The following is a 27,899-nucleotide window of genomic DNA, read 5'->3' on the forward strand; positions in this document are numbered from 1 at the left end:
GCTCGAGTGCAATGGCACAGTCACAGCTCACTGCAGCCTTGAACTCGTGGGCTCAAGCCATCCTCCTGTGTCAGCCTCCCCAGTACCTGGGACTGTGGGCATGAGCACTGCGCCTGGCAGCTGTATCAGTGTTGACTCCACATTTTAATAGTTGCTTCTTGAAATTAAAATGCTTTGATTCAGCCTTCAAGCCATCAGGAAAGTTTGCCCCTCTGAGTCACACCTGGTGGTCTCCAGGGTTCCTGCCCCTCCCTCCTGAGCCAGCTCCTCAGAGCGGATAGAGGCAGGACCCCCACCCAGGTCTTGAGACCCCCCTGCCCCGCACTCCCCCGGAGACGGGCTACCCCTGCAGATGCAGATAGTCAAAGCTCAGGTTTCTTCCAAAGCTTTTAAAAAGATATTGTACCTTGAGCACTTTAAAAATGTCTTAAAATTGCCATACAGGCTCTTAAAAGCTTATACGTTTAAACTGTTGATAGATGGGCCTTTACTAAAATGCATTCATTTATTTTCCTAATCCCTTGGTTGTTAAATAATTCTGGGGAAGGGCCCCGAGCACGACAGCCGCAGTCTCCACCCAGAACCAGAGAGTCCCCCCCAACCCGGGATGTACCCTCTGGCCACACCAGGGACCCTGCCAGAGGCCGCAGACTGGCAGCAGCAGCCTCCCCACACAGTGGGGGAAGGTCAGTGTGATGCCTTCAGGCCCCGTCTCCTGCCAGGGCTCTCCCTCCAGCCTACATAGGGCCTCAGAGAAATGCATTTTTAGTTCTGGCTTTGGCCCAGCCCAGGGCAAGGCAGGAAACTCTCCAGCGTGAGTCCGTGAGGGCCAAGAAGTCCCGCCCTGTTCTGGGGGAGGACCTGGCTTTTCTGGTGTCTCTGGTGCCCGAGAGCCCGGTGCTGCCATCTTTAGTGAAAGAGTAAATGGTGGCCGAGGGCTCCTTTTGTGAGGGATGTGCCTTGGTGAAGAAGGCATGTTCCCTGCCGTGAAGATACTTGGAAGCTCTGGGTGGAGAGGGAAAAGGGATACCCCTGGTGCTCCCTGGGCCTGGCGGAAGGCTAGGAGGAAGGACAGCTGAGGTGAGGACTGAGTGGGGCAGGTATCACCCTGACAAACAGTTTGGGAAGATCAGGAAAGGCAGGTGAGACCTGGTGCAGAATCCAGGTTGGGTAATAGATACATCGTCGAAGATGTAGCAAGCAAAGTAATATACTCAACTCTGGAACATTGCACAGAAGCTTTTAAAGCACTCTGTGACACTTTTTGTAATGAGGGATCTGAAGGAAACGGCCCCAGAGTCACCCATCCCCACGGGTCTGGTTGGCGGGGCTGGTGCCTTTCTTCTGCACTCAGTCACCATGGCTCCGTCTGTCAAACTCAACTCTTTTTTTTTTTTTTTTTCTTCTCTTGGTGTGGTAATTTGTTTGAAGAGCCACTCCATCCCCAAATTCAAGATTAGAAAGATCCCTGACTGCTTCTCAAGATCCAGAACATTCCTTGACAGAGTATATTCACCATTTAGAAGTGATCCAGCAAAGATTGGGAGGGGTACTACCAGGTAATGCAAGTCCTCGCCGAGTATTTATTAAGCTGATTATCACTGTACCCTGGAAACGTAGGGTCTGTTGAAAGATGGCTGGTATTCAGCTTAGTAACCAAAGTTTCAGTCTGAACAATCAGTGTCACTAATAGTATTAGAATAGAGGCTACAAGTGAAGAATCTCACAGAAGTCTAAGCCAGTGTACTCAGTGATACGTGCTGAGGTCAGTTTGACTTAATCACCGTCTGGACTTTTTTGTCCTTTCTCTTACATTGATAGCGAACATAAAGATTATATTTCGACCAGGATATAATTTGTTCAGTGTTTCTTAAATATCATAATTTAAACCACTGTATAATTCATATTTTTACCAAAATTTACATGAATTCAGTGATAGTGTTTCAAAATTGTGGAATTCTTTTCAAAAAATCTGTGAAGCCTTGTAACCAATTTGCTGCCTCATTTTTATTTATATGCAGATTCTACTTCAAAGAAATCCTGCCACCCGATGATTAAACAGTGAATAAAATGTCATGGCTCTTTCCTGCGACAATTCTATTTGAGGAAAAGATTTGTTTTTCCCTTTTCCCAAGGAAGCTCGTGGGACAGCATGGGCACTACTCTTCATGTGCGGTGACACCAGCCCCCAGATGCCTTGAATTAAGTGTCCTCACCTTTATGCATGACTGCAAAGCCAGCTGGAGCATTTTCTATGGAGCCTCCGTATGTTTTAGGCCCATGACCTTCGTGAGGTGACGGGCACTCACTCCCATGAGCCCTGGCTGTGTGCTGTTGTGTGCCTATCGGCAGATCCATCCTTCCTGCCTCCAAGGAGGATACACAGAGAATGGCTTCCTGTTGTTTTGTTTATTTTCTTAACGTGTACAGATGGAAACTTCATTTAAAAATAAAAACAAAACAACTCAAAAAGGAATAAAATTTAATCACTGTTTTGTTTGTGAATAGCCCTTGTGTTGTTTTTTTTTTCCATTTTATCCATTTTATCAGTTTGCCTTTCTCACTGACTAAAAAATTGAGCAGAGAGTTTATGTTAAACTCGTAAGTCAAAAATTTTCAGTGGAACCCGGAGCATTCTTGAATAGCCACTTGACTGTTGTTTACTCTTACTTGGTTTCTTATTTTTTTAAAGATGCTGCCACTATGTATCCACCTCTCATGGCCATGCTTTTTGTTTTTGAGATGGGAGTCTCCCTCTGTCACCCAGGCTGGAGTGCAATGGTGCAATCTCGGCTCACTGCAACCGCCGCCTCCTGGGCTCAAGCAACTCTCCTGCCTCAGCCTCCTGAGTAGCTGGGATTACAGGCGCCCACCACCAGGCCCAGCTAATTTTTGTATTTTTAGTAGAGACAGAGTTTCACCATGTTGGCCAGGCTGGTTTGAATTCCTGACCTCAAATGATCCATCCTCCTCGGCCTCCCAAAGTGTTGGGATTACAGGTGTGAGCCACCACGCCCGGCTGGCTGTGCTTTTTTATGTTTCACTCATACTCGCTTAGACTAGACAGTAATACCTAGCCAAGGACCCTTTATCCAAAAATGTACTAGATGGGTATAATTTTTTTATTTTTAGAGACAAGGTCTCGCTCTGTCACCCAGGCTGGAGTACAGTGGCACAATCACAACTCACTGCAGCCTTGACCTACCAAGCCCAAATGATCCGCCTGCTTAGCCTCCCGAGTAGTTGGGACTACAGGTGCGCACCACCACGCCTGGCACTAATTTTCGTATTTCTTTTAGAGACAAGGTTTCACTTTGTTTCCCGGCCTGGTTTCAAGCTCCTGGCTCAAGCAATCCTACTGTCTCTGCCTCCCGAGTAGCTGGGAGTACAGGCACGCACTGCCACATTGAGCTAGTTGTTTTTTGTTTTTTTTTTTTTTTAAGTAGAGATGGAGTTTCACTCTGTTGCCCACACTGGTCTTGAACCCCTAGCTTCAAGTGATCCTCCTGCCTTGGCCTCCCAAAGTGCTGGGAATACAGGCTCAAGACACTGTGTCCAGCCCTAACTTATAGTTTATTGAAGGAAAAATAAATGAAACCATGAGGAAAAAGATGAACATGGGCTATTCTACAGTTAACTGCCCTCGTTTCATCAAAGACAATGGGACATGAATGTGAGGAGCCTGTTCTAGCTTGAAGCCAAGAAGCTGTCAGCCGGGTGTGGTGGCTCACACCTGTAATCCCAGCACTTTGGGAGGTCGAGGTGGCCAGATCACAAGGTCAGGAGTTTGAGACCAGCCTAACCAACATGGCAAAACCCGGTCTCTACTAAAAATACAAAAATTAGCCGGGTGTGGTGGCAGGCCCCTGTAATCCCAGCTACTCGGGAGGCTGAGGCAGGAGGATCACTTGAACCCAGGAGGCGGAGGCTGCACTGAGCCGAAAGTCCTCGGTACCAAAAGGTGCCAGTGAAGACACTAGATTGCAGATAAGGATGTTCCTGTTTTCATTGTGTATGAGCCACCCAGTTTCCCTCAAAAATTGGGATCAATAGCACCAGTTAGTGCAGTAACTCCATCCCTGGGTGTTGGCTCAGGCAGCAGTCTCAACTGCTAGTTCAAAGTTCAAAATACCACCATTGTCGTACCTGGTAGAAGCAGTCCTCCCTTGGGACAGTGGAGTTCAGAGTTACAAGATGAGAAGCAAAAATTCCTTCTGGGGTTACTTGGCATAACAGTAAGAGGGGCCATTCCTATCTGCAGCCCTTAGGTTTCCAAGCCAGCATATGCTGGCTGTGGGAGAAGTAGCACTAGGTATTGTTCAGTTAAAGCCTATACCACATCCTGTATTATAACATCCATATTGACAGGGCATTGTCTCCAATCTGGCATCATAACTGAGCCTTCGGGAGGCCTTTCCACCATCCACTAAGCAAGCTACTTCTGACTGATAGGAGTTTGGGGTAAGATGAGGGCATCGTACAACCACATGCTTAGAGCCACACTTGCTCTCAGAAGAGTTTTCTGGTTAGAAGCGATGATGAATTAGGAATTTGGGAAGTCTGCAAATGAGTGTTGGGCGGGAAAAGCAAATTCATATGCAGAATAGGAATGGATAGATGCAGGGGGACAGCAGAGCTGGAGAACTGCATGGGAGCCTGGGCTACCGTTCATGCTGCCTGCTGCCGCCTCCCTGACCTGCTGGAGGCTTGTCTCCTTTTCTAACACGAGCTGCCTGTCCTACAGTTCCATTCTGACACTACCTAGAGTCAGAATGGACACAGTTCCCACAAGTTAAGGACAAAGTCCTTCCATTTTTAATTAATTTATTTTTGTAGAGATGGGGGGTCTCCCTGTTGCCCAGGCTGGTCTCGAATTCCTGGGCTCAAGTGATCCTATCTTGGCCTCCCAAAGTGCTGGGATTACAGGCGTGAACCACAGTGCCTGGCCTAAAGTCCTTCAATTCTGGTACTACCTGGAGTCAGCACAGACCCTAAAAGCTAAGGACTCAGTCTCCACGTCAGACGTCAGCCACAAGTGGTGTTTCCAGGCTACCCGCAATTCTGCCCAGCCAATTTATAAGTTTGTGGGGTTTTCAGCCCCACCCCTGTAGGTTTAATAATTTACTAGAATGATGCAAAGTACTATTCTTGGGATTACCAGTTTATTATACAGGGTACAACAAAGGAACAGCCAAATGGAAGAGGTGAGCAGGACAGGTATGGGGCTCAGAGCTTCTGTGTCCACTGCAGGCGTGCTGCCCTCCCAGCACTATCGGGGGAACCCATCCCCAATATTTCAACGTAGGTTCTTTCTATTTTCCCTAAGTGTCGGCCAGTCTGAGAAATAGAGTACAAAGAGGAAGTTTAGAGCTGGGCTGCCAGGGGTGACATCACATAGTGGTAGGACCGTGATGCCCACCTGAGCCGCACAACCAGCAGGTTTTTATTAAGGACTTCAAAAGGGGAGGGGGTGTACGAACAGGGAGTAGGTCACAAAGATCACATGCTTCAAAGGGCAAAAGGGAGAACAAAGATTACGTGCTTCTGAGGCCAATAAAGATCACAAGGCAAAGGGCAAAATCAAAAACTCCTGGTAAGGGTCTATGTTCAGCTGTGCATGTATTGTCTTGATAAACATCTTAAACAACAGAAAACAGGGTTCAAGAGCAGAGAACCAGTCTGACCTCAGATTTACCAGGGAGTGGTTTTTTCCCCCACCCTAACAATCCTGAGGGTACTGCAGGAGACCAGGGCGTATTTCAGTCTTTATCTCAACTGCGTAAGACAGACACTCCCAGAGCAAGCATTTATAGACCTCCCCCAAGGAATGCAATTATTTTCCTAGGGTCTTAATATTCCTTGTTAGGAAAAGAATTTAGCGATATCTCTCCTACTTGCACGTCCGTTTATAGGCTCTCTGCAAGAAGAAAAATATGGCTCTTTTTGCCCGAACCCACAGGCAGTCAGACCTTATGGTTGTCTTCCCTTGTTCCCTAAAATCGCTGTTCTGTTCATTTTCAAGGTGCACTGATTTCATTATTGTTCAAACACACGTTTTTTTTTTTTTTTGGTTTGTTTGTTTTTTGAGATGGAGTCTCACTCTGTCGCCCAGGCTGGAGTGCAGTGGCGCCATCTCAGCTCACTGCAAGCTCCATCTCCCAGGTTCATGCCATTCTCCTTCCTCAGCCTCCCGAGTAGCTGGGACTACAGGTGCCTGCCACCACACCCGGCTGATTTTTTGTATTTTTAGTAGAGACGGGTTTTCACTGTGTTAGCCAGGATGGTCTTGATCTCCTGGCCTCGTCAAATGCACGTTTTACAATCGATTTGTACAGTTAATGCAATCATCACAGTGGACCTGAGGTGACATACATCCTCAGCTTACGAAGATAACAGGATTGAGATTAGACAGGCATAAGAAATTATAAGAGTATTACTAGGAAGTGATAAACGTCCATGAAATCTTCACAATTTATGTCCCTCTGCCGCGGCTCCAGCCGGTCCCTCGGTTTGGGGTCCCTGACTTCCCGCAACACAGCACAACCCAGAACCTCTGTAAGCCTCATTGGCTAAGAGTTTTTATCAAGGCCTCATTACATAGTCATGATGGATTGGATTATTGATCACATGATTGAACTTAAACTCCAACCCCCTCCCCTCTCCAGAGGTTTGAGGGTGGGGCTGAAAATCCTAATCCTCCAATCATGTGGTTGGGTCCTCTGGTGTCCAGCCCCCACCTTGAAGGGGCCCCACCACAATCACCTCAAAAGCCTGAATAGAAAACTTTTAATGACTGCACCTGGGATGGATGCCTGATATGGTTTGGATCTGTGTGTCTGCCCAATCTCATGCTGAATTCTAATCCCTAATGTTGGAGGTGGGACCTGGTGGGAGGTTACTGGATCATGGGGACAGTTCCTCGTGAATGGTTTAACACCTGGGTGCTGTCCTCAGACAGTGAATGAGTTCTCACGAGATCTGGTTGTTCAAGTGTGTGGCACCTCCATCCTCTCTCTGCCTCCTAATACAGCCATGTGAAGTGCCTTGCTCCCCCTTTGTCTTCTGCCATGATTGGAAGCTTCCTGAGGCCTCCCCAAAGGAAAAGCCACTATGCTTACTGTACAGCCTGCAGAACCGTGAGCCAAATATACCTCTTTTCTTTATAAATTATCCAGTCTCAGGCATTTTTTTTTTTTAGATGGAGACTTGCTCTGTCACCCAGGCTTAAATGGCACAATCTTGGCTCACTGCAACCTCCGCCTCCCGGGTTCAAGCAATTATCCTGTCTCAGCCTCCTGAGTAGCTGAGACTACAGGTGCACGCCACCAGGCCCGACTAATTTTTGTACTTTTAGTAGAGACAGAGTTTCACCATATTGGTCAGGCTGGTCTCGAACTCCTGACCTCAGGTGATCCACCGGCTTTGGCCTCCCAAAGTGCTGGGATTACAGGCCTCAGCCACCACACCTGGCCTCAGGCATTTCTTTATAGCAGTGTGAGAACAAATACAGTGCCTCACAGAGAGATGCTGATTCTCAAAACCCAACAATACCACCTTGCTTGCAGACCCCCAAGACTCTGATCCCAATACAGCCCACAGAAGCATGAGGCATACCATAGGAGGACAGCCTATACACAAATCATTAAACTGGACATAAACAGCATTCCACTGAAACTGGAAATAATATACACAAAACTATGCCTGAACAGATTCAGAAGGCATAAGTATGTGACCCAAGTGAGTGACCAAACACATGCTGCCGCCTCTTCTACTTCACACCCCTCAGTCTACATCTGTGGTTTCACGGGACGCTCCCTAGGACCAGTTGACAGAAGACGAAAAAATACAGGTTTGTTCTACCAACGGATCCATACGGTATGGTGGCATGAACCATAAATAGTTGCTACACTAGTGACTCACACCTGAAATCCCAGCACTTTGGGAGGCTAAGGCAGGCGGATCATGAGGTCAGGAGATTGAGACTATCCTGACCACCGTGGTGAAATCCCATCTCTACTAAAAGACACAAAATTAGCCGGGCATGGTGGCGTGTGCCTGTAGTCCCAGCTACTCGGGAGGCGGAGGCAGGGGAATCGCTTGAACCCGGGAGGCAGAGGTTGCAGTGAGCTGAGATCGCGCCACTGCACTCCAGCCTGGAAGACCGAGTGAGACTCCGTCTCAAAAAACAAACAAAAAGATGGTTGCTACACTACAACCTAGTTTAGGGTTGGATTTTTGAAGATTTCCAGCTGGCAAAACTTGGGAGGGTACAGCTGGTGGTCCATCTTATGTGGAAAGGAAGGTGTCTGAATTTACTGATCTGCAAGCATTCCCATGCAGTTACGCACTGTCCAGCTGGTCAATAACAGAAAGATTGCAAAGAACGGTTTCAAGGAAGTCTTCAGTGCCGGGCTCAGTGGCTCATGCCTTTGGGAGGCTGTGCCTTTAGCATGCTGTCTCAGCGCTCTGCCAGGCAGGAGGGCCCATGGACACTACACTTCCTTGGCTATAAAGTGAATCTCGTTTGAAATGTTGTGTGCTTATGTCAGTGAAACAAACACTCCTTAAGCCTTTCTGGCTGACACTTGTGAGTAGGAAAAGACAAGCCTCGTATCTGGAATATGAGACTATTCTTGTGAAAAGTGAACCACCAGCCCTTCCAGGATGGGAGAGTTCCAATACAGTAAACTCTCCTTATAAAATGGGGACTATGTCTAAAGACCTCTGTAAACCTGGATGTTTGTGCTCCTTGATGAAGTGACCCACAATGGGAGTATAGCACTGGTCTCTTTTGCTGGCAGGTTAGATATTTAGGGGCAGCTAGATATTAACCAAAGCCGGGTAGATCTCTTTTGCTGGCAGGTTAGATATTCAGGGGCAGCTAGATATTAACCAAAGCTGGGTAGAGAGCATGGGTTGCTGTCAGGCCCATGAACAGCGTCCATCACCTTGGCTACCTTGTCCATGTGCCCATCATGCCAGTAGTACAGTAGCCAATAAAAGATGCTGTCCAATATCAACTGGCTGAGTCAACTGTCTACTTGGTTGTATAATGCTTCTTTCATGGATGCTCTCTGGTGGGCATTAACATTGTATACAAAGAACATTGTACTTCGTGCTATTCCAATTTATCTGACCACATAAATCTACCACACACCTCCTTATCTCCAACTTCCGATTGTTTTCCTTCCAGGCCCTTAACCAGTTACCCAGGCCCTCTAGCATTGCCCATGGCTCCATGTATATTCTCACCTTGGGCTACTTCTTCCACAAAAAAGTGGACGACCAGGAGCTCTGCCTGAAATTCTGCCTATTGAGAGGATATGCCCTTATCACCATTTTTCAAGGTCACCCCTGAGAAGGCTGTAATGTAGCTGCTATTTTCATTTTGAACTCATACTGAGCCAACCCATTTATACACCATGCTCACGATTTTTACTCCTGTCAACTGGCTATAAGGGCCCCCTCACACTGTCACAGGTGTGAAATGACATTGTGGCTGATCCAACAGTTCTGGAAGTCATGTGCATCTGTGCTCTGCAGCTCATTTGGTAACCTCTGTACATTCTCATGCTCAACCTTGAATATACTACTTCCATATTATGAGGGACCGTTGCTGGCCCCAACTGATGTTATGACTTTTGCTAGTTTAACATTAACAGGCAGTTCTGGTTGCATGGTCACCTGGTGGCTTACGGTCAGGCGTTCCATCTCTGTCAGAGACAAGTGGCATACCAGAAGACAGATCTACACCCGCCCGCCCCCCAAATGCATACAATTCTCTGCTCCAGGTGGCATGACAGAATCTCTACATTGCATCATTCTGCACCATTAATAACACCAAAAAAACACCTGTTGGACTATATGGCCCAGGCAATAGCATTACTTCATCACAACCCGGATCTACTGTACAGACGTTTCCAGTTCTGGGCTCTTTCCAAAATTGGAAATCTCCCAATTCCACTAGTCTCTGGACCAGAGCAATACTCCCAGGTGTGGGACATGCTGCCTCCAGAACCTGAGGCAAGAACTAGCTCGAGAACCAACAAGCGTCTTGCTTTCTTAACGGCAGGAGGTGCAAGCAGCAATAATTCATTCGCTTTTGGAAGGGATGCCCTAGAGCACCCCTGACCACTGGAGCCCTAAAAATGTTAGGATTGTAGCAGGCTCCTGGATTCCTGTAGGGTTTATATGCCACTCTCTGGAGCAGCTGTCTCCAGGATCTTCTGCACTTCTCATCTGGCTGATCAACATGTCACTGATGTAAAGGAACAATGTAATATTCTACAGGATGTCTAGGTGGTCCAGATCTCTTTGGATTACGACAGAGAGCAAGAGAAGTAACATAACCTTCCGGCAAAACTGCATTTTAATTCCATGCAAATGCAAAATGTTTTTGATCCCTGATAGGTACAGAAAAGAACAAATCCACCTAGTCAACAACTACCTACCATATCTGGCAGAGAGGCTATTACGGATACTTTTTTTTTTTTTTTTTGAGATAGAGTCTCACACTGTCACCTGGGCTGGAGTGCAATGGCATGATCTCGGCTCACTGCAACCTCCACCTCCCAGGTTCATGGGATTCTCCTGCCTCAGCCTCCCAAGTAGCTGGGATTACAGGTGCACACCACCACACCCAGCTAATTTTTTGTATTTTTAGTAGAGACAGGGTTTCACTATGTTGGCCAGACTGAACTCCTGACCTCGTGTTCCGCCCACCTTATCCTCCCAAAGTGCTGGGATTACAGGCGTGAGCCACTGTGCCCGGCCAGGGATACTTCTTAGATGAGTTTGCAGCAGTGTACCCAAAACAACTACTGGTTGACAGCAAATAGAGTAGGCTGCCATTCTCCAGGATCCTTGTGACTTCTGCAGGGGTCATGCTGGTAAATTAAAAATGTTGGTAACCACCACTTTACATCACTTGGATCCTTAGAAGTGGCACTTATCTCTGCCATTCCCGCTCTGGGATAATTGTTTTATAATCTTGGTAGGGGATGGGGCAGTTTCAGGTTTCTGTTTGGCTTTTTCCATTTTGTTATCTAACTCTATAGGTCAGGGACCTGGAATGAGCATTCACTGCCAAGTATGTCAATGCCAATTACTCACTCGAAGGCTAAGAAAATATCACTAGATCAGTCCACTAGGTCTACGGGTCCACTGTAAGCTGGACCTTTAGCAGAACTCCATCAATTACCTGGCCACCACATGCAGCCACTCTAACAGAAGGGGATGATATTCTAGGCATCTGGACATCAATTTAGACCCTGTGTCCACAAGTCTTCCAAATGTTTGGCTAATCACTTTTCTCCAGGATGTAGTTATCAAAAGAAATTGCTATCAGACCCTTTGGAAAAGTACCTGGGGATTCATTTCTGTTGTACTTGTACTGTTATAGGTCCTTCTTCCTGGTGTTTGGCCACCTCTCAAGTAATGTTTCCATTTCTGAAAACTGGCTCAGTTCCAGAAGCTGGGCATGGAATCCTGATTTTTTAAAACTGGGACAAGCATCTTTATTTATTTTTTTCAATTGAGACAGTCTTGCCACATTGCCCGGGCTGGAGTGCAGTGGTGCAACCACAGCTCACTGTAATCTTGAACTCCTGGGCTCAAGTGATCCTCCCACCTTAGCTTCCCCAAATGCTGAGATTACAGGCACAGGCCACCGTGCCTGGATGGATTTTTTTTTTTTTTTTTTTTTTTGCCAGCTGAGTAGTACCCTTCTTAGCTGCCCACCTGTTTTGCCTCCAGGGATGCCATGTTTATTGACCAGTTCTATAACCATACAAGTGAGGTCCCCTTGGCTGCCACTCAGACCCTGCTGGCTGCTATAATTGCAATCCTCTGACTTCTGCCAGCTAAGTGTTGCCTTTGGCTTCTTGGGTTTTTTTCTTTGGTCCCCACTATGTCCCAGAATGGCCTCTTTTGTCTTAGGATCCTATCATCCCCAGTGCTATCACCCAGCCAAGTTCTGGAACAGCCTTTCTATTGTCATTCTTGCCTACAGAGATGAGCCATCACTGAATATTTTAGTGACATCAGTGCCCCTTTCATCATCCTATGTCTAATGATCTTTATAAATGACGTGTTATTTACACCTTCATGTGGAATATGATCGTCTCAAATGTCTTCTAGATGCACGGAGTATATAAATTTCAACATGCCCACACCCCTGAACCTTTTACTCCCTTCCACCACTGTCTGCCATAGCAATTTTGCCATTTCAATTTTGCTTACCATGGCCCATGGCTTTTTCCAAGTGTGGTGTTTTAAAAATATACTGGCAAATTTTTTGATATTCTTCCCTTTAGAAGATGAAGCCTAATTCCTCTCCTTTTGAATATGGGTAATTTAGTGACTCATTTCTTCCAAATAGGAAGTAGCCGAAGTGATGGTATGCAACTTCTGAGGCTGGTTCACAAAAAGGATACAGCTTTCTTTTGTCCTTTGTCTTTAGATTGCCCTTGGAATCCAGCCATCATATTGTGAGAAAGCCTCGGCCACAGGGACCGGCCGTGTAGGGGTGTGCTGGCTGACATCCCCAATCTGGGCTGCAGCCAATCTCCAGTATCAGCTGTCAGACATTCGAGCAGATGAACCTTCACTCATTCCAACCTCTAGCCTCTGAACTGCTCCAGCTGAGGCCTCAGACACTGTGGAAGAGAGATAACCAATCCCCACTATGTCTGACCCACAGTAACCTAGAGAGATCACCGATCCCCACTATGTCTGACCCACAGTAACCTAGAGATAAGAAATGATTCTTGTTTTAAGCCACGAAGTGTGGAGTAATTTGTTAGGCAGCAGTAGCTATACCGCCATTCTAGGAGCCATCCTTGCAGGAAGTCTGCAGCCACTCTTTGCCAAGGTGTTAAATCACGTATTTCAATAAACACATCTATGCAAGTTTACATTCCAGCTCCCTTCATCAAGCACCCTCATAATCCAGCCCCAAACTTTCCCAGCTCCTGTCAGTACATGTTGGCTGGGTGGTACAGCTTGTTATGGGCTGAAGTGTGTCCCTCTCAAAAGATGCTGAAGCCCTAACCCCTGGTCAATGTGAATGTGACATTATTTGGAAATGGGTCTTTGTAGACAAGTTAAGATGCGCTCATTAGAGTGGGCCCTAATCAGTATGACTGGTGTCCTTCTAAAAAGAGGCCCATGTCGAATGACCTTTGTCAATGATGTTACTTATGCCTTCGTCTGGAGAGACACACACAACAAGATCACCATGTGAATATAAAGGCAGGACTGGGACAATGCCTCTATAAGCCAAGGAACCAAAGACTGCCAGCAAACCACCAGAAGCTGGGAGAGAGGCATGAGACAGATTCTCCCTCCCAGCCCCAGAAGGAACCAACCCTGTGAAAACTTTGATCTCAGACTTCTAGCCTCCAGAACTGGGAGACAATAAATGTCTGCCCAGTTTGTTACTGAAGCCCCAGCAAACTAATAACGCAGTTCTTCTGAGGGGGAGGGAGCTATATTCTCTTTTCTATCTCATTGTTTCCAGCTGAATAATGCAAAAGAAACAACCATAATTATACATCTACTGAGCAGTAAGTGGAGGGAGGAGGAGTAGTGTCAGGTTAATAGGAGAGGTGAGCCACCCCGGCAGGCTTCAGGTTCAAGGCAGGCCAGGTGTGATGGCTCACTGGAGCCTAGAAGTTTGAGACAAGCCCGGGCAACATAGCAAGACCTTGCCTCTACAAGTAATAAAAAATGTATCCAGGTGTGGTGACACATACCTGTAGTCCCAGTTACTTAGGAGGCTCAGGTGGGAGGATCGTTTGAGCCCAGGAAGTTGAGGCTACAGTGGGCCATGATCCAGCAACTGCACTCCAGCCTGGGCAACAGAGTGAGACACTGTCTACGAAAAAAAGGTTTAAGGCAGTTTGGGGAGTCAAAACCTTTGAAGGCATCTACCCAGGTATCTCCAACCCATGTATGACGGGCTTTTCTTTTCTTTCTTTTTTTTTTTTAAAAGACAGAGTCTCACTCCTGTTGCCCAGGCTGGAGTGCAGTCACAGCTCACTACAGCCCTGACTTCCAGGGCTCAGGTGATCCACCCACCTTAGCCTCCCAAGCAGCTGGGACCACAGCCGTGGCCACCATGCCCGGCTAATTTTTTGTGTTTTCAGTAGAGATGGGGTTTTGTCATGTTGCCCAAGCTGGTCTTGAACTCCTGAACTCAAGCAATCTTCCCGCCTTGGCCTCCCAAAGTGCTGGGATTACAGGTGTGAGCCACTGTGCCCAGCCTCATCTTTTCTTAGCAGGGATCCAAACTTAGTGGAAGAGTATTGCCTTGTTTGGGTGTTTTGCTATTTTTGGAGTTCAGTCAAACAGGGATGTTAATTCCTGGGCCTGGTTCTTGTCTTTGACCTGCTGCAGTAAATGAAGCTTCTCTATATGTAACGGGACAGATTCACTGGCTTACAACTGTTTGTTGCTTGCCTTCAGCTGACCACTATTCTTAAGAGTCTCGGTTGGCACTAAGCAATAGCTATCCAATCCCCCTTTCCTTCCTTTTATCTACTACGTTCACCATATATGAAATGTCTGATACTTCACCCACTCGTGGATTCCATTTCACTAGTTCACCCTCCTACTTCACCACTGGTGAGTGATGCAGCCTCGAATCCCATCTTCTCACCAGCTTTAATGCTGCAGAATGGTTTCTCCAGAAGCAGACGCTGCGACTGAGTTTGGGGTACGAGGATGTTGACATGGTATCAACACCCGTGAAAGGAAGGGGAAGGAAGCAGGACTGGGCGGAGGAAGAAGGGTATGTAAGTCCCGCAAAGCTTTGGCCAACCTCGTGTGGAGCTCTGGAACGAGAACTGCTGAAGTTCGCCAGACTCGGGCACTCCTGCCTAACTCAGTAACAGGCGGGCGGCATCGGGACACGGACACGCTGCTCAGGCCCCGCCACAGCCACCCTCGCACCGTCAGACACACTCCCACACATTCGGGGAGCAGGGCCTTCAGGACGCCGGCGGCGCCCTCTCAGTCTAGCTCCGCCAGGCCCCTCGTCCGTCCTCCCGCCCTCCAAGGTCACCTCGCGGTCCGACATGGCTGCTGGGGCTCCTTCGGGGCCAACGATGTGTACTTCTAGGGCTGTTTTTTAAAGCAAAGGAGTGAACACAGGTAAAGGCACGAGAAAGGTGCCTCGACGCCACCACGGACTGCGCAGCGTTCGCGATCAGCACAGCCCGAAAGGGAAGACAGCGGTCAACGCGGACGCGCCATGGCGCGGGGACCAAGGAGGAGCCCCGAGAGGGGCGGGGCTGGCCGGAGGGCCGCGCGCGGGGCCACCAGCGGCGCCTAGGGGTCAGCGCCAACGCCCACGGGTTGGTCATCCCCACTTAGGCGCCTCGGGCCGCAACTAAGCAGCCTGCCCGCCTCAAGCCCGCCACCCTCAAGCAGGCCCAGCGCAGAGCCTGTCGGGAGCGGCGCTCTCCCGCCTCTCCCAATGGGAGCCCGGAGCGGCATCGACGCGTCTTCGGGGCCAATGGAAGCGAGGCTCTGGTGTTGCTGGGCGGGGCCGGGAGGGCTGCGCGGGCCCGAGACCCACTGCGCACGCGCGCTCGCTACCCGCCCTTCCCGCCGCGCACGCGCTCCCGTGTAGGGCCGGCCGGGCGCTCAGGAGCGCGCGGGGCAGCGGCGGCGCGGCGGAGCCATCCGCGCTCGTGCCCGCGCGGGTGCGTTGCTGTCCTGGCCGCGCCCCTGTCCCGCCGCCTCCCGCTCCTCGCCTGGCGGATGTAGGTTGTTGGCCTGAGGGGAGCTACGTAGCCGAGGTTTGCGCTGCCGCCGCCAGGCCCGGTCCGGTTCCAGCCTCTGCCCGGACGCTAGCCGGCCTGGCCATGGCTGACCGCGGGTGCCCGCTGGAGGCGGCGCCGCTGCCTGCCGAGGTGCGGGAGAGCCTGGCTGAGCTGGAGCTGGAGCTGTCGGAAGGTGAGCCGGACCCCGCCCTCAACCCCCGCGACCCGCCCTCAGCCCGGTCCCCCGCGCAGCCCCTCACTCCGGGACCCCCGCGCGGCCCCTCACTCCAGGACCCCCGCCCTTCACCCCCGGGACCCCCACGCGGCCTCGCCCCTGGGACCTCTGCCCCTCAACGGGACCCCGGTTCCTCTACCCTGGAACCCGCCCCTCGCCCCGGAGACACCGTTCCTCAACCCTAGGACCCCGCCCCTCATGTGGGACCCCAGCACGACCCCTCGCCCCGAGACCCCGGCCCCTTACCCCCGGGAACTCCCGCCCCTCACCCCCGGGACCTCCTGCCCCTCACCCCCGGAACCCCGCGCGGCCCCTCACCCCGGGGACCCCGCCCTTCACCCTGGGAGCCCCGCGCTGCCCCTCCGGACTCCCGACCCTCAGCCCCGGGACACCCGCGCGGCCCCTCAAACCAGGGACCACTGCCCCGCCTCTCATACAAGGACCCCTCCCCCATACAAGGACTCCTCCCCCCAGGCCCTTCACACCTGGGACCCTTACTCCTCACCCCGGGACGCCTGCCAAACTTCTGGAGACCTTTCCCTATCCCCAGCTGCTCCCCCAATGGGATCCGACCCCAAGGACTGGCTTTGACTAGGTCGTTTGGACAGGTGTGAGAATCTTGAGAGGAATGACCACTTTTGCCCCAAGCTGTGAGCCCCGCTTTTCTCAAGGCTGTAGGTCTGGGCTTGGTCTGGGCTTCACCAGGATGACTGCGCCCGTTGTCCGCAGGCAGCTACTTCCCTTGGAGCTGGGAGCCCTTGCCGCGCGCCTCATACTCTAGGAGCTGCACCCTGTGCCTCATTTTATTATCTATAAAGTGGGGTTATACCAGCACTTTCCATTTTGGATTGTTATGAGGCTAAAATACCTTAATATATGCAAAGCACATAACACTTAGGAGTTGTTAGCCCCCTCATGGAATTTTTTAAAGTAAAAAAAAAAAGTCGTATAAATGGTTGGTTGATAAAAATAGACTGGAGTAATCTGGCTTCAGAGGTGGTGGGTGGCATTTCCCATTTGGATGTTATCCCTTTCAAGGCCTGTGTCCTGATATTCCTTTTGGCTGTCTTTGGGAAAGAGTTAAGTTCTTCTCCAGTGTCAGAAAGGACTTGCAGTCCTTGAAGAAAAGCATGTAATTGATTCTTACTCTGTTTTTGAGATCTAAATGCATTTTCAGCTTTTAGAATCCATTTTTTAAATAATCTTATTATCCTTAATTTAAGTTTCAGATTGATAAGATTTTGCTGGGTCTGGGGTAGTTATTTCTCAAAACATCTAAATAATATGCACTAGCATACAGTAAGTCATTTAATCCTTGCCAACCTTAGGGAGGTAGATGCTGTTGTGATCTTGTTTTACATATAATACAACATGTACTTGCAACTATTTTGAATTCAGCATTCAGATTTTTAACAATGTTGTGACATGTGGCACATTTTTTTTTTTTGAGACGGAGTCTTGCTCTGTTGCCCAGGCTGGAGTGCAATGGCGTGATCTCGGCTCACTGCAACCTCTGCCTCCCAGGTAGAAATGATTCTTCTGCCTCAGCCTCCCGAGTAGCTGGGATTACAGGGGCTTGCCACCACGCCCAGCTAATTTTCGTATTTTTAGTAGAGGCAAGGTATCACCATGTTGACCAGGCTGGTCTCAAACTCCTGACCTCAGGTGGTCCGCCTGCCTCGGCCTCCCAAAGTGCTGGGATTACAGGCATGAGCCACCGTGCCTGGCTTGTGGCACATTTTTAAAAATGGAAGTACAGGCTGAGTACACAGTGGCTCATGCTTGTAATCCCAACACTTTGGGAGGCCACGTTGGCTTGGAGACGGGAGTTCAGAACAGCTTGGGTAACATAGCAAGACTCTGTCTCTACAGTATTAAAAAAAATTAGCTGGGCATGGTGGTGTGCACCTGTAGTCCCAGCTACTTGGGAGGCTGAGGCAGGAGGATCACCTGAGCACTGGAGCACTCCAGCCTGGGCAACAGAGCGAGAACCTGTCTCTTCTCACCAAAAAAAAAAAAAAAAAAAAAAGGAAAGAAATGGATGGATTTGAGAATTCTTGGTGATTAGATGCTCCTAGGCAGTCTGACAAACTTAAATTAGGAATGGGTTTGACAGGATCTACTGTACTGCATTTGTTAAGGCTCTTTAGGGAAAATCACATATACGCAGTTTAGATTCTGTGCATTTCAAACATATTTTTGCGTATTGCTCCTAATTTCTGCTCCAATGTATTCATTATTCCCTCAATTTTTTGTGTTGTAGTTGTGTTTGAGTGCTTGCTAGGCATTGACAATTGAATCCTTTCCTCAAAGAACTTTATAATTTGTGCGACAGAACACAAGTACTTAAATGAAAGAAATGTTTCCTATCTGTTGGATCCATTTATGCTATTGTCATCTTAGAGATATGTAGGGGATGTATAGGTAAGTAAAGGTATAAGATTATGTAACATGGAGAGGAACCTCGAAAAATAGCTTAAGCTGAGAAAGGGGGTAAACAAAAAAAGTATTGAGCCCAGAAATGGTGGCTTAGGCCTGTTATGTTTGCATTTTGGGAGGCCCAGGCAGGAGGATCACTTGAGCCCAGGAGTTTGAGACCAGCCTAGGCAACATAGGGAGACCCTGCCTCTTCCAAAAAAAAAAAAAAATTGGCTGGGCATGGTGGTGTGTGCCTGTAGTCCCAGCTACTTGAGGGGCCGAGGTGGGAGGATCACCTGACGAGGTTGTGAGCCTTTATAGTGTCACTGCATTCCAGCCTGGGAGACAGAGTGGGACCTTGTCTCAAAAAAAAGTGTTAAAGGGAAGACAGCAGAGAACAGAGTAGTAGAGTGGCAGCCAAGGAGGTGGAAGCTCTGGCTTCTTGGCTTCTTTCCCTGCTCCTAGACTGGCCTGACACTTTTCTTTTGGCCAAAATAGGTCAGTGATTACTTAGGCACAGTCACACGTGGACCTGCTTCCAGGGCGCTTCCACAGGTTAATGCTGGCTTATGTAGTTTATGTGGTGGTTGTTGTTGACGTGGGCTCTCCCTGTTGGATTTGGAGATGCTTACTGGTAAGGACTTTGTTTTAGGCAGATTTTTGGCTTCTTCACACAGTGGTGGGCATCTGGTAAAGTGTCTGTGAATCTCCTGTGGATTACAATGTCTCTAAACGTGGGTTTAGTTAGCTGTAAAAGGGGGTGAATACCAGCTTTATTGACATTCCAGGTTTATTGTCAAGATTCAGTCACATAGTGTGTGTGAAAATGCTTCGAAACTGGTAAGGTGTTTTATTTATATAATTAAAGGGAGATATTAGTAATGAGTTATAGTCCTAAAACAACCAACATTAGTGTTTCATTGTTATAATTTTTATATATTGTCAAAATAGTGTAACTTTTTTATAGCATTCACATTTATCTAAGTGAGAAATTGCCTAAAACTTAAGAGTTGTCACTGTGCTTGGTAGGTTGGAAGAAGAAGCTTAACAGTGACAAAGATGCTGTCTTCAACAGAAACTGGTAATGAGTGATACCTGAATAATCTAGAAAATCCTGCATGCCTTCCCCTCAGCCTGTTGAAAGTATCCTCTGCCTTTCTTCATACCTCACACCTGGCCTTATTCTCCAGCATCCTCACTGCATTCTCATCATCAACCATAGTGATTGGCGTTGGCCCTGAGGGAAGGTTCTGGTAGAATGCTATGATTTATTTCCATAGGGCAAGTTTGCTGAATTTCTGTTATAGATTCCCAAGAGGGAAATAAGGCATAGCTGTGTTCTTGCTCCTTAACTTTTCTGGCTGTTTTGCCCTCTTGACTTAGGAGTCTGCTTCAGATTAAGATGAAGATGAAGAGTAGAAGTACATGGAACCCCACTCTTCTTAGACCCCCTGCCCCCCAATCATGAACACATACAGAAGAATTCATATGTGTGGTTCCTGAAAACCTATCAGGATGTTCATTGATGGAAGTGAGATCATTAGAGGTATAACCTTGATATTTAAAAAAGAATTAATTCCCAAACCTTTGTGCTTTGCCTGTTGCTGTAACAAATTACCTTGGACACACCTCACAGCTGATTTTGGCACACCAGTGCTGTACGTGTCTTGGAGCTATTGCTGCTGAACTGCTTTAAAAACATGGACAGTGGTATTTTGTTCTTTGTTTTAATAGACTACAGTGGGTTAGAGAGGAAATTCCTACACAATAGGCTACCTTTATCCCATTCCAATTACTTTATTCTGGTTAATAGGTCTATTCCATAGCTTTAACTTTAGTCTTTTTCTTGATTTCTTATATTCTAACAATGCAGGACTTCTAGTCTAGATGGAATAAAATGAAAAGGGGGAAAAAACTCTGGGTATACAGGAAGAGACTTCTCTCACAAAGCTTTTTTCCTCTTTAACTGTCTTTAATTTCTAAAATCTGGGATATATTTGTGTGTGTGTGTGTGTGTGTGTGTGTGTGTGTGTGTGTATATTTTGAGACGGAGTCTCACTCTGTTGCCCAGTCTGGAGTTCAGTGGCGCGATCTCGGCTCACTGCAGCCTCCACCTCCCGGGTTCAAGCAATTGTCCTGTCTTAGCCTCCTGAGTAGCTGGGATTACAGGCACACGCCATCACGCCTGGCTAGTTTTTTGTATCTTTAGTAGAGACAGGATTTCACCATATTGGCCAGGCTGGTCTTGAACTCCTGACCTCGTGATCCACCTGCCTCGGCCTCCCAAAGTGCTGGGATTACAGGCATGAGCCATCGCGCCTGGCCCATAATTCTTAATTTTCAAAATGACAGCCTGTCATTGCCTTTGTGTTAATAAACATTTGTTGTGCTTCTTGAATATTTTGTGGTATATAAAAGTTCTCATGTTCAGCCAGGCGCAGTGGCTCACACCTGTAATCCCAGCACTTTGGGAGGCTGAGGCGGGTGGATCACCTGAGGTTAGGAGTTCCAGACCAGCCTGACCAACATGGTGAAACCCCATCTCTACTAAATACAAAAAATTAGCCGGGCGTGGTGGCGTATGCCTGTAATCCCAGCTACTTGGGAGGCTGAGGCAGGAGAACCACTTGAACCTGGGAGGCAGAGGTTGCAGTGAGCCGAGATTGCACCATTGCACTCCAGCCTGGGCAACAAGAGCGAAACTTCGTCTCAAAAAAAGAAAAACGTTCTCATGTTCAGATTCTACTCATCTGTCAAAGGCCACCCCAAATGCTCTCTATCTTAGTCTATTTTGTGTTGTGTTTGTGTTCTATAACAGAACACCACATATAGGTAATTTACAAAGAAAAATTTATTTCTCACAGTTCCAGAGGATGGAAGTCCAATATTAAGGTACTAGCATCTAGCAAGGACTTTCTTGGCCTGTCATCCCATGGTGGAAGGTGAGAAGGCAAGAGAATGTGTGGACGAGAGAGGAAGGGGGCCAAAATCATCCTTTTGTCTGGAACGCATTCCTGATAACTAACCTGTCCCTGCGATAACAGCATTAATCCACTGATCATCTCTTAAAGGTTCTGCCGCTCAACACTGCTGCATTGGGCACTGAGTTTCTTCCTTTTTCTTAATATTCATGTCTTTTTTTTTTTTTTTTTTTTTTTTTTTCAAGAAAACACACAACAAATGTCAGAATATGAGATAGGGAAGTTCTCCTGGAACAGCATGTAGATTATTTTCTAGAGCACTTTAGTTAAATGGTACTTAATGATGATAATTCTTCTGAACACAATTCAGAATTTGAACCAATATTTGTTGTTTCAGGAAAGCAGAATTTCCTTTGAATGATGGATAAGAATGGTGAGGATCTTTATAATATAGAATAAATTGCTGAAAAGAAACTTTGAGGGAATATTCAAAGCACCCTCTTATTTTGAACCTTCCTTGATCATCTCTAATGTGACTGCTTTCTCAGAACTTCCATATCATTTGTCCCCTCTTTTGGAGTTCTTGCTGCTTTTTGTTTTTGTATTTGTTTTCACTTATTCAGTAATTATTCAGTGTCCACTGCATCCTAGGTAATATTTCAGCTGTCAAAAGTCAGATTTTGGCTGGGCATGGTGGCTCACTCCTGTAATCCCAACACTTTGGGAGGCCGAGGTGGTTGGATCACCTGAGGTCTGGAGTTCGAGACCAGCCTGACCAACATGACAAAACCCCGTTGCTACTAAATATAACAAAAAAAAAATTAGCTGGTCATGGTGGCACGTGCCTGTAATCCCAGCTACGTGGGAGGCTGAGGCAGGAGAATCGCTCAAACCCAGGAGGCAGAGGGAGACTATTTTTATAATGATACTAAGATGCCATTTCTGTTTTCACTGTGTTGACACTTGTACTGATGGTCCAAAAGCAGTAATAGGGAAAACTGCTGGGCACTTTAACGTAAATTGAGGCAGGGACTCCAAGTGTCACTGATAGTCATTATATTATTCGCTACCTCTCCACTTGCAGTTTTAAAAAAACAAAAAGGGCTGCTTTCACTTAAACAGACCCTGATGAAGCAGTAAAAATTAAAAAAAAAAATTGGCCTTTTGTCTTTTCATGAGGAAATGGGAAGTACATGAATTGCTTTTGCTGCACAAAGAGGTACAGTGCCTGTTTTGAGAAACAGCAATTGTGTAGTTTGAGTTGCAAAGCGAACTAGCTGCTTTTATTGTGAAATGCCATTTTTGCTTGAAAAAGTGGGTAGCAGACAATCTGCAGTTATTGAGACTTGGGTATTTGGTGGACGTTTTCTGGAAAATAAATGAGAGGAAATAACTGACAATTTATGACCAATGATAATATTTGTGCTTTCAAGCAAAAATCAAAATTTTGAAAAAATTTATCTGCTACAGTGAGCTTGACAGTTTCTCAATAGTTAACGACTTCTTTGATGAGATTGGTGACAATATAATGAATGAGTATTTGATATTATATAATTAAATGTGTCAGCATTTGGAAGATCCACATAATTTTGTGAACTAATATTTTCCAGCTCACCATTGCACCACGTTACAAAGTCATAGTGCATGGGTAAAAGATTCATTCAAAAGATAGACCAATGGATTTTAATGTAGTGATATGAAAAGTTCACTGATAAGAGTTATAGATTCTACATTATAACTTTTTTTTTTTTTTTTTTTTTTTTGAGATGGAGTCTTGCTCTGTCTCCCAGGCTGGAGTGCAGTGGCGCGATCTCAGCTCACTGCAACCTCTGCCTCCCAGGTTGAAGTGATTCTCCTACCTCAGCCTCCTGAGTAGCTGGGATTACAGGTGCCTGCCACCATGCCTGGCTAATTTTTGTATTTTTAGTAGAGATTGGGTTTCACGTGTTGGTCAGGCTGGTCTCGAACTCCTGACCTCGTGATCCGCCCGCATTGATCTCCTAAAGTGCTGGGATTACAGGCCTGAGCCACCACTCCCGGCCACAACTTTTTTTTTTTAAGAGACTCCCCCTTGCCTGGTTTTGGTGTTGTATCAAGGAAGAATGTCCACAGTGATCTGAAAAGGCTGCTGAGACACCCCACCTTTTTCCAACTGCATGTCTCTCTGAAAAAGGATTTGATTCATAGACTTCAACCAAAAAAACCACACAGTACAACAGATTGGATACAGGAGCAGGTATGAGAATCCATATTGTCTTCTCTGAAGCCAGAGTTAAAGCAACTTGCAAAAATGTAAAAGAATACCTCTTCTTACTAAATGTTTTTGTTTTCAGAAATCTTTTATTTTTAGTAAAAAATATTATTTACCTTAATATCTAGTCAGTTTATTATTAAAAATTTTAAATGAGTTAGGCCGGGCGCGGTGGCTCACGCCTGTAATCCCAGCACTTTGGGAAGTCGAGGCGGGCGGATCACGAGGTCAGGAGGTCGAGACCATCCTGGCTAACACAGCGAAATCCTGTCTCTACTAAAAATACAAAAAATCAGCCGGGCGTGGTGGTGGGTGCCTGTAGTCCCAGCTGCTCGGGAGGCTGAGGCAGGAGAATGGCGTGAACCTGGGAGGCGGAGGTTGCAGTGAGCCGATATCGCACCGCTGCACTCCAGCCTGGGCTACAGAGCGAGACTCCGTCTCAAAAAAAAAAAAAAAAAAATTTAAATGAGTTAAATATTTAAAAAATTTCACAGTATTAGTTTTGTTTGTTTGTTTGTTTGTTTGTTTTTTAAGATAGTGTCTCGCTCTGTTGCCCAGTTGGGAGTGCAGTGGTGTGAGGATAGCTCACTGCTGCCTTTAACTCCTGGGTTCAAATGATCTTCTTGCCTCAGTCTCTTGAATAACTAGAACATAGTAGCTGAAAGACATGGATGTCATCATCTATTTCTTTATATTTTTTGTAACATTTTAAAGCTATTGCCTAGTTTAATAATTATTTCAGTTTGTGTATGTAAGGACAATCAGGCATTTAAATTTATAAAACATGTTTGAAAATCTTTAAAAGTTACACTTACTGACTAGTTGCTTGTCTGTTGCACTAACAAAATTTATTATTCATGTTTCGGGAATACCCTCTTTAGGTTTTGTTTGTTTTTTTTTTCATAGTAAATTATCCCAGTACAAGTGTCTTTGTACAAAATTTTGATTTCTAAGTTTCTTTAAAAATATCAATGCCAGCTGGGCCCAGTGGCTCACACCTATAATCCCAGCACTTTGGGAGGTCGAAGAGGATGGCTGAGGAGGTTGGATCGTTTGAACTCAGGAGTTTGGGATCAGCCTGAGTGACATGGTGAAACCCCATCTCTGCTAAAAAATATGAAAATTAGGGCTGGGTGCAGTGGCTCATGCCTGTAATCCCAGCAGTTTGGGAGGCCGAGGTAGACGGATCACTTGAGGCCAGGAGTTTGAGACCAGCCTGGGCAACATGGTGAAACTCCGCCTCTACTAAATAAAAAAAAAAATTAGCCTGGCATGGGGGCAAGTACCTATAATCCCAGCTACTCGGGAGACTGAGGCAGGAGAATCTCTTGAACCCAGGAGCCGGAGGCTGCAGTGAGCTGAGATTGTGCCACTGCACTCCAGCCTGGGTGACAGTGAGACTGTCTCAAAAAAAAAAAAAAAAAAAAGCTGGGTGTGGTGGTGCACGCCTATAATCCCAGCTACTCTGATGGCTGAGGCAGGGAGAACCGCTTGAACCTGGGAGGTGGAGGCTGCAGTGACCTGAAATTGCACCACTGCACTCCATGATACCCTGTCTAAAAAAAAAAAAAAAAGAGAGAAAATCGGCGCCAGAACAAATCCTACACAAGCCCACTTGTGTCAGAAATTTAAAATAGTCAGACTCATAGAAGCAGAGAGTAGAATGGTGGTTGCCAGAGACTGGGGTGGTGGGAGAATCTGGAAGGTGTTGATCAAAGGGTATATAGTTTCAGTTATACAGGATGAGTAACTGCTAGAGAGCTGCTGTACAGCATAGTGCATATAGTTAACAATACTGTATTGTATATTTAAAAATTTGTTAAGAGAGTAGAGCTCATGTTAAATGTTCTTATCACAAACAGGAAAGGAAGAAACTTTTAGAGATGATGTTTATGTTTATGTTTATGGTGATGGTTTCACAGGGATATACTTACCTTTAAATTCATCAAAATTTATATATTAAATATGCACGAGTTCTTATAGGTTAATCATGTCGATTTAAAAAAAGAAATATCAGTGATTTCAATTTTAATATCCTAAAACTTTAAACATGCTTCATTGCCAGCTATTCTGTACTTGTTTAATTCCTGTCTTTCTTTCACCGCTTAAGTTTAAACTTCACTTTCTGTTGGAGGCTCTGCCTTCTACTAAAGCCCCCTTCTCCCCAACCTTCACAGAATAAAGTGCCTGTGCTCTGTATCCTTTTAAAACTCATTGTATCACTCTTGTAGGATCATAATTATTTGTTTCATGATTATTTGTTTGCTTGTCTTTTCTATACCATTTTACAGGGAGCATTTCAAGAGGAAGGTTTGATCTGCTCATCTTTCTGTCTCCAGCACCTTGCACATTTTAGGCATTTTAATGGATGCTTATTGAGTTAATAAAAGTGAAAACTTCACATGGTGTTTATTCAGTTTCAAATAAAGAATCCTCTGTAAATGGATTCAAACTTAGCTTTTTTACAGCAGTTTTTCTAATTCAGTGAACCCATCAGCAGGATGGATCTGTGCCTCAGGGAGCTGTTGAATCAGAGTGTGGCCTTTGTTGCTTTAAGTGACCAGAAAGAAAAAACTTAAGAGGAGACTGAGATAAGTGCACTGTTGCTCCTGTCCTCCTGTAGGATCCAGGCTAAGCTGGAGAGGCCTCACTGGTGTGGAGCTCGATGACGTACATCTAATCTAATAGTTTGTTTGGGGCCCATGAGGGCATAATCCACTGATGGCCTCATCGCCATGCTGTGGGTCCACACTACCCTCAAGCTGAGGCTATGCTTCCTATAGCAGGAATACCAAGGCTCTTTCCCAGGAGTCCTGATGAGAACTTTGTCTCAAGGACTCCTCATTGGCCTGGCCGGAACTTTCTTAGTGCTGCCTTTAGTCTAAGACTTTTTCTGTCCCACCTGCCTTCCTTTCCTCTTCCCCTGGCAAACATCTACTGGTTCCCTCCCCATTTTCCCTCAAGGGCATTTTCCCACATAAATCTCCCTTTCACGTAGTGTGTCCTCAGTGAGCATTAGCCACGTGTGACTGCTTCTCTTATCATCAGGGCAGGTCAGGGGCCAGGATACCTGTTCCATCTTTTGAAAAAAAAGATAGAATTCAAGAGCTGCAGTTTTGTTTTTCAAATCACATATTTAATCTTTTAATGTATTATTTTGGCTGATGTGATATACATTTATTTAGTATAAAAATGAATTCAGGCCAGGTGCGGTGGCTCACGCCTGTAATTCCAGCTCTTTGGGAGGCCAAGGCAGGCGGATCACCTGAGGTCAGGAGTTCAAGACCAGCCTGGCCAACAGAGAGAAACCCCCATCTCTACTAAAAATACAAAAAATGGGCTGGGCACAGTAGCTCATGCCTGTAACCCCAGTACTTAGGGAGGCCAAGGCGGGCGGATCACCTGGGGTTGGGAGTTCGAGACCAGCCTGACCAACGTGGAGAAACCCCGTCTCTACTAAAAATACAATATTAGCCAGGCGTGGTGGCACATGCCTGTAATCCCAGCTACTCGGAACGCTGAGGCGGGAGAATCACTTGAACCCAGGAGGCGGAGGTTGCGGTGAGCCGAGATCGTGCCATTGCACTCCAGTCTGGGCAACAAGAGCGAAGCTCCGTCTCAAAAAAAAAAAGGGGGGGCCAGGCACGGTAGCTCACGCCTGTAATTCCAGCACTTTGGGAGGCCGAGGTGGGCGGATCACGAAGTCAGGAGTTGAAGACCAGCCTGACCAATATGGTGAAACCGTGTTTCTACTAAAAACAAAAAAATTAGGTGGGTGTGGTGGCGCATGCCTGTAATCCCAGCTACTCAGGAGGCTGAGTCAGGAGAATTGCTTGAACCTGGGAAATGGAGTGAGCAGAGATCACACCATTGCACTCCAGCCTGGACGACAGAGTGAGACTCTGTCTCAAAAAAAAAAAAAAAATTAGCCAGGCATGGTGGTGGGCACCTGTATTCCCAGCTACTCAGGAGGCTGAGGCAGGAGAATCGCTTGAACCCAGGAGGCGGAGGTTGCAGTGAGCCAAGATAATACCACTGCACTCCAGCCTGGGAAACGAGTGAAATTCTGTTTCAGAAAAAAAAAAAAAAAAAAGAATTCATATTATTTGGTCACTCTTCTATGTTATAACTGAAGAAAGGAAGGAAATGAATTAGGGTTAAGTTAATGGGAAAACTTTATTCTGCCAGTACATATTTTGTTTATTTAATCTCGCTCTGTTGCCCAGGCTGGAGTGCAGTAGCACTATCATAGCTCATTACAGCCTCAAACTCCTGGGCTAAGCTATCCTCCGCTTTAGCCTCCCAAG

General features: G+C 46.7%; 2 protein-coding genes and 2 long non-coding RNA genes across 34 annotated transcripts in view, besides 6 other annotated features; 3 read left to right on the forward strand and 1 right to left on the reverse strand.

Moving 5' to 3' along the window:
* Nucleotides 1-2,507, forward strand: part of PCNT (pericentrin) — a 121,614-nt gene extending 119,107 nt beyond the window's left edge. For both annotated transcript variants that reach the window (NM_006031.6, NM_001315529.2), the window contains exons 45-47: nt 548-686; nt 1,432-1,559; nt 2,022-2,507. In NM_006031.6, coding sequence (NP_006022.3) covers nt 548-686; nt 1,432-1,559; nt 2,022-2,065 — 311 coding nt within the window. In that variant the 3' untranslated portion in view covers nt 2,066-2,507. The remainder of the gene's footprint in view (nt 1-547; nt 687-1,431; nt 1,560-2,021) is intronic.
* Nucleotides 271-1,190: an enhancer, noted in NCBI's record as "H3K27ac-H3K4me1 hESC enhancer chr21:47863446-47864365 (GRCh37/hg19 assembly coordinates)". NCBI's record gives its function as "activates a minimal SCP1, AML or CMV promoter by ChIP-STARR-seq in naive and primed H9 embryonic stem cells {active_cell/tissue: H9 hESC(naive and primed)}" and the evidence as "EXISTENCE:reporter gene assay evidence [ECO:0000049][PMID:30033119]".
* On the reverse strand, nt 5,149-15,451 carry LOC124905046 (uncharacterized). The gene is made up of 2 exons (XR_007067915.1): nt 15,065-15,451; nt 5,149-12,656 (listed from the first exon to the last, which is right to left on the reverse strand). It is a non-coding gene; the product is annotated as an uncharacterized LOC124905046 (long non-coding RNA).
* Nucleotides 5,701-5,901: a silencer, noted in NCBI's record as "peak4431 fragment used in MPRA reporter construct". NCBI's record gives its function as "represses an SCP1 promoter by STARR-seq MPRAs in K562 erythroleukemia cells {active_cell/tissue: K562}" and the evidence as "EXISTENCE:reporter gene assay evidence [ECO:0000049][PMID:32103011]".
* Nucleotides 14,843-14,982: an enhancer, noted in NCBI's record as "active region_18604". NCBI's record gives its function as "activates an Ori minimal core promoter by ATAC-STARR-seq in GM12878 lymphoblastoid cells {active_cell/tissue: GM12878}" and the evidence as "EXISTENCE:reporter gene assay evidence [ECO:0000049][PMID:35858748]".
* Nucleotides 15,223-15,772: a silencer, noted in NCBI's record as "silent region_13421". NCBI's record gives its function as "represses an Ori minimal core promoter by ATAC-STARR-seq in GM12878 lymphoblastoid cells {active_cell/tissue: GM12878}" and the evidence as "EXISTENCE:reporter gene assay evidence [ECO:0000049][PMID:35858748]".
* The window catches only part of DIP2A (disco interacting protein 2 homolog A), a 124,981-nt gene continuing 112,710 nt past the window's right edge, over nt 15,629-27,899 (forward strand). For all 30 annotated transcript variants that reach the window (XR_007067786.1, XR_007067785.1, XR_007067784.1 and 27 more), the window contains exon 1: nt 15,629-15,960. Coding sequence is in view for 27 of the 30 variants with exons in the window: in NM_001353943.2 (NP_001340872.1) it covers nt 15,870-15,960 (91 nt within the window). In the remaining 3 variants the exon portion in view is untranslated. The remainder of the gene's footprint in view (nt 15,961-27,899) is intronic.
* Nucleotides 15,963-16,032: a silencer, noted in NCBI's record as "silent region_13422". NCBI's record gives its function as "represses an Ori minimal core promoter by ATAC-STARR-seq in GM12878 lymphoblastoid cells {active_cell/tissue: GM12878}" and the evidence as "EXISTENCE:reporter gene assay evidence [ECO:0000049][PMID:35858748]".
* Nucleotides 16,753-16,822: an enhancer, noted in NCBI's record as "active region_18605". NCBI's record gives its function as "activates an Ori minimal core promoter by ATAC-STARR-seq in GM12878 lymphoblastoid cells {active_cell/tissue: GM12878}" and the evidence as "EXISTENCE:reporter gene assay evidence [ECO:0000049][PMID:35858748]".
* DIP2A-IT1 (DIP2A intronic transcript 1) lies at nt 19,209-26,044 on the forward strand. Its single transcript, NR_046400.1, has 4 exons — nt 19,209-19,260; nt 19,450-19,501; nt 19,804-19,966; nt 25,884-26,044. It is a non-coding gene; the product is annotated as a DIP2A intronic transcript 1 (long non-coding RNA).

The sequence above is a fragment of the Homo sapiens genome, chromosome 21 (assembly GCF_000001405.40).
Source record: "Homo sapiens chromosome 21, GRCh38.p14 Primary Assembly".
Lineage (NCBI taxonomy): Eukaryota > Metazoa > Chordata > Mammalia > Primates > Hominidae > Homo > Homo sapiens.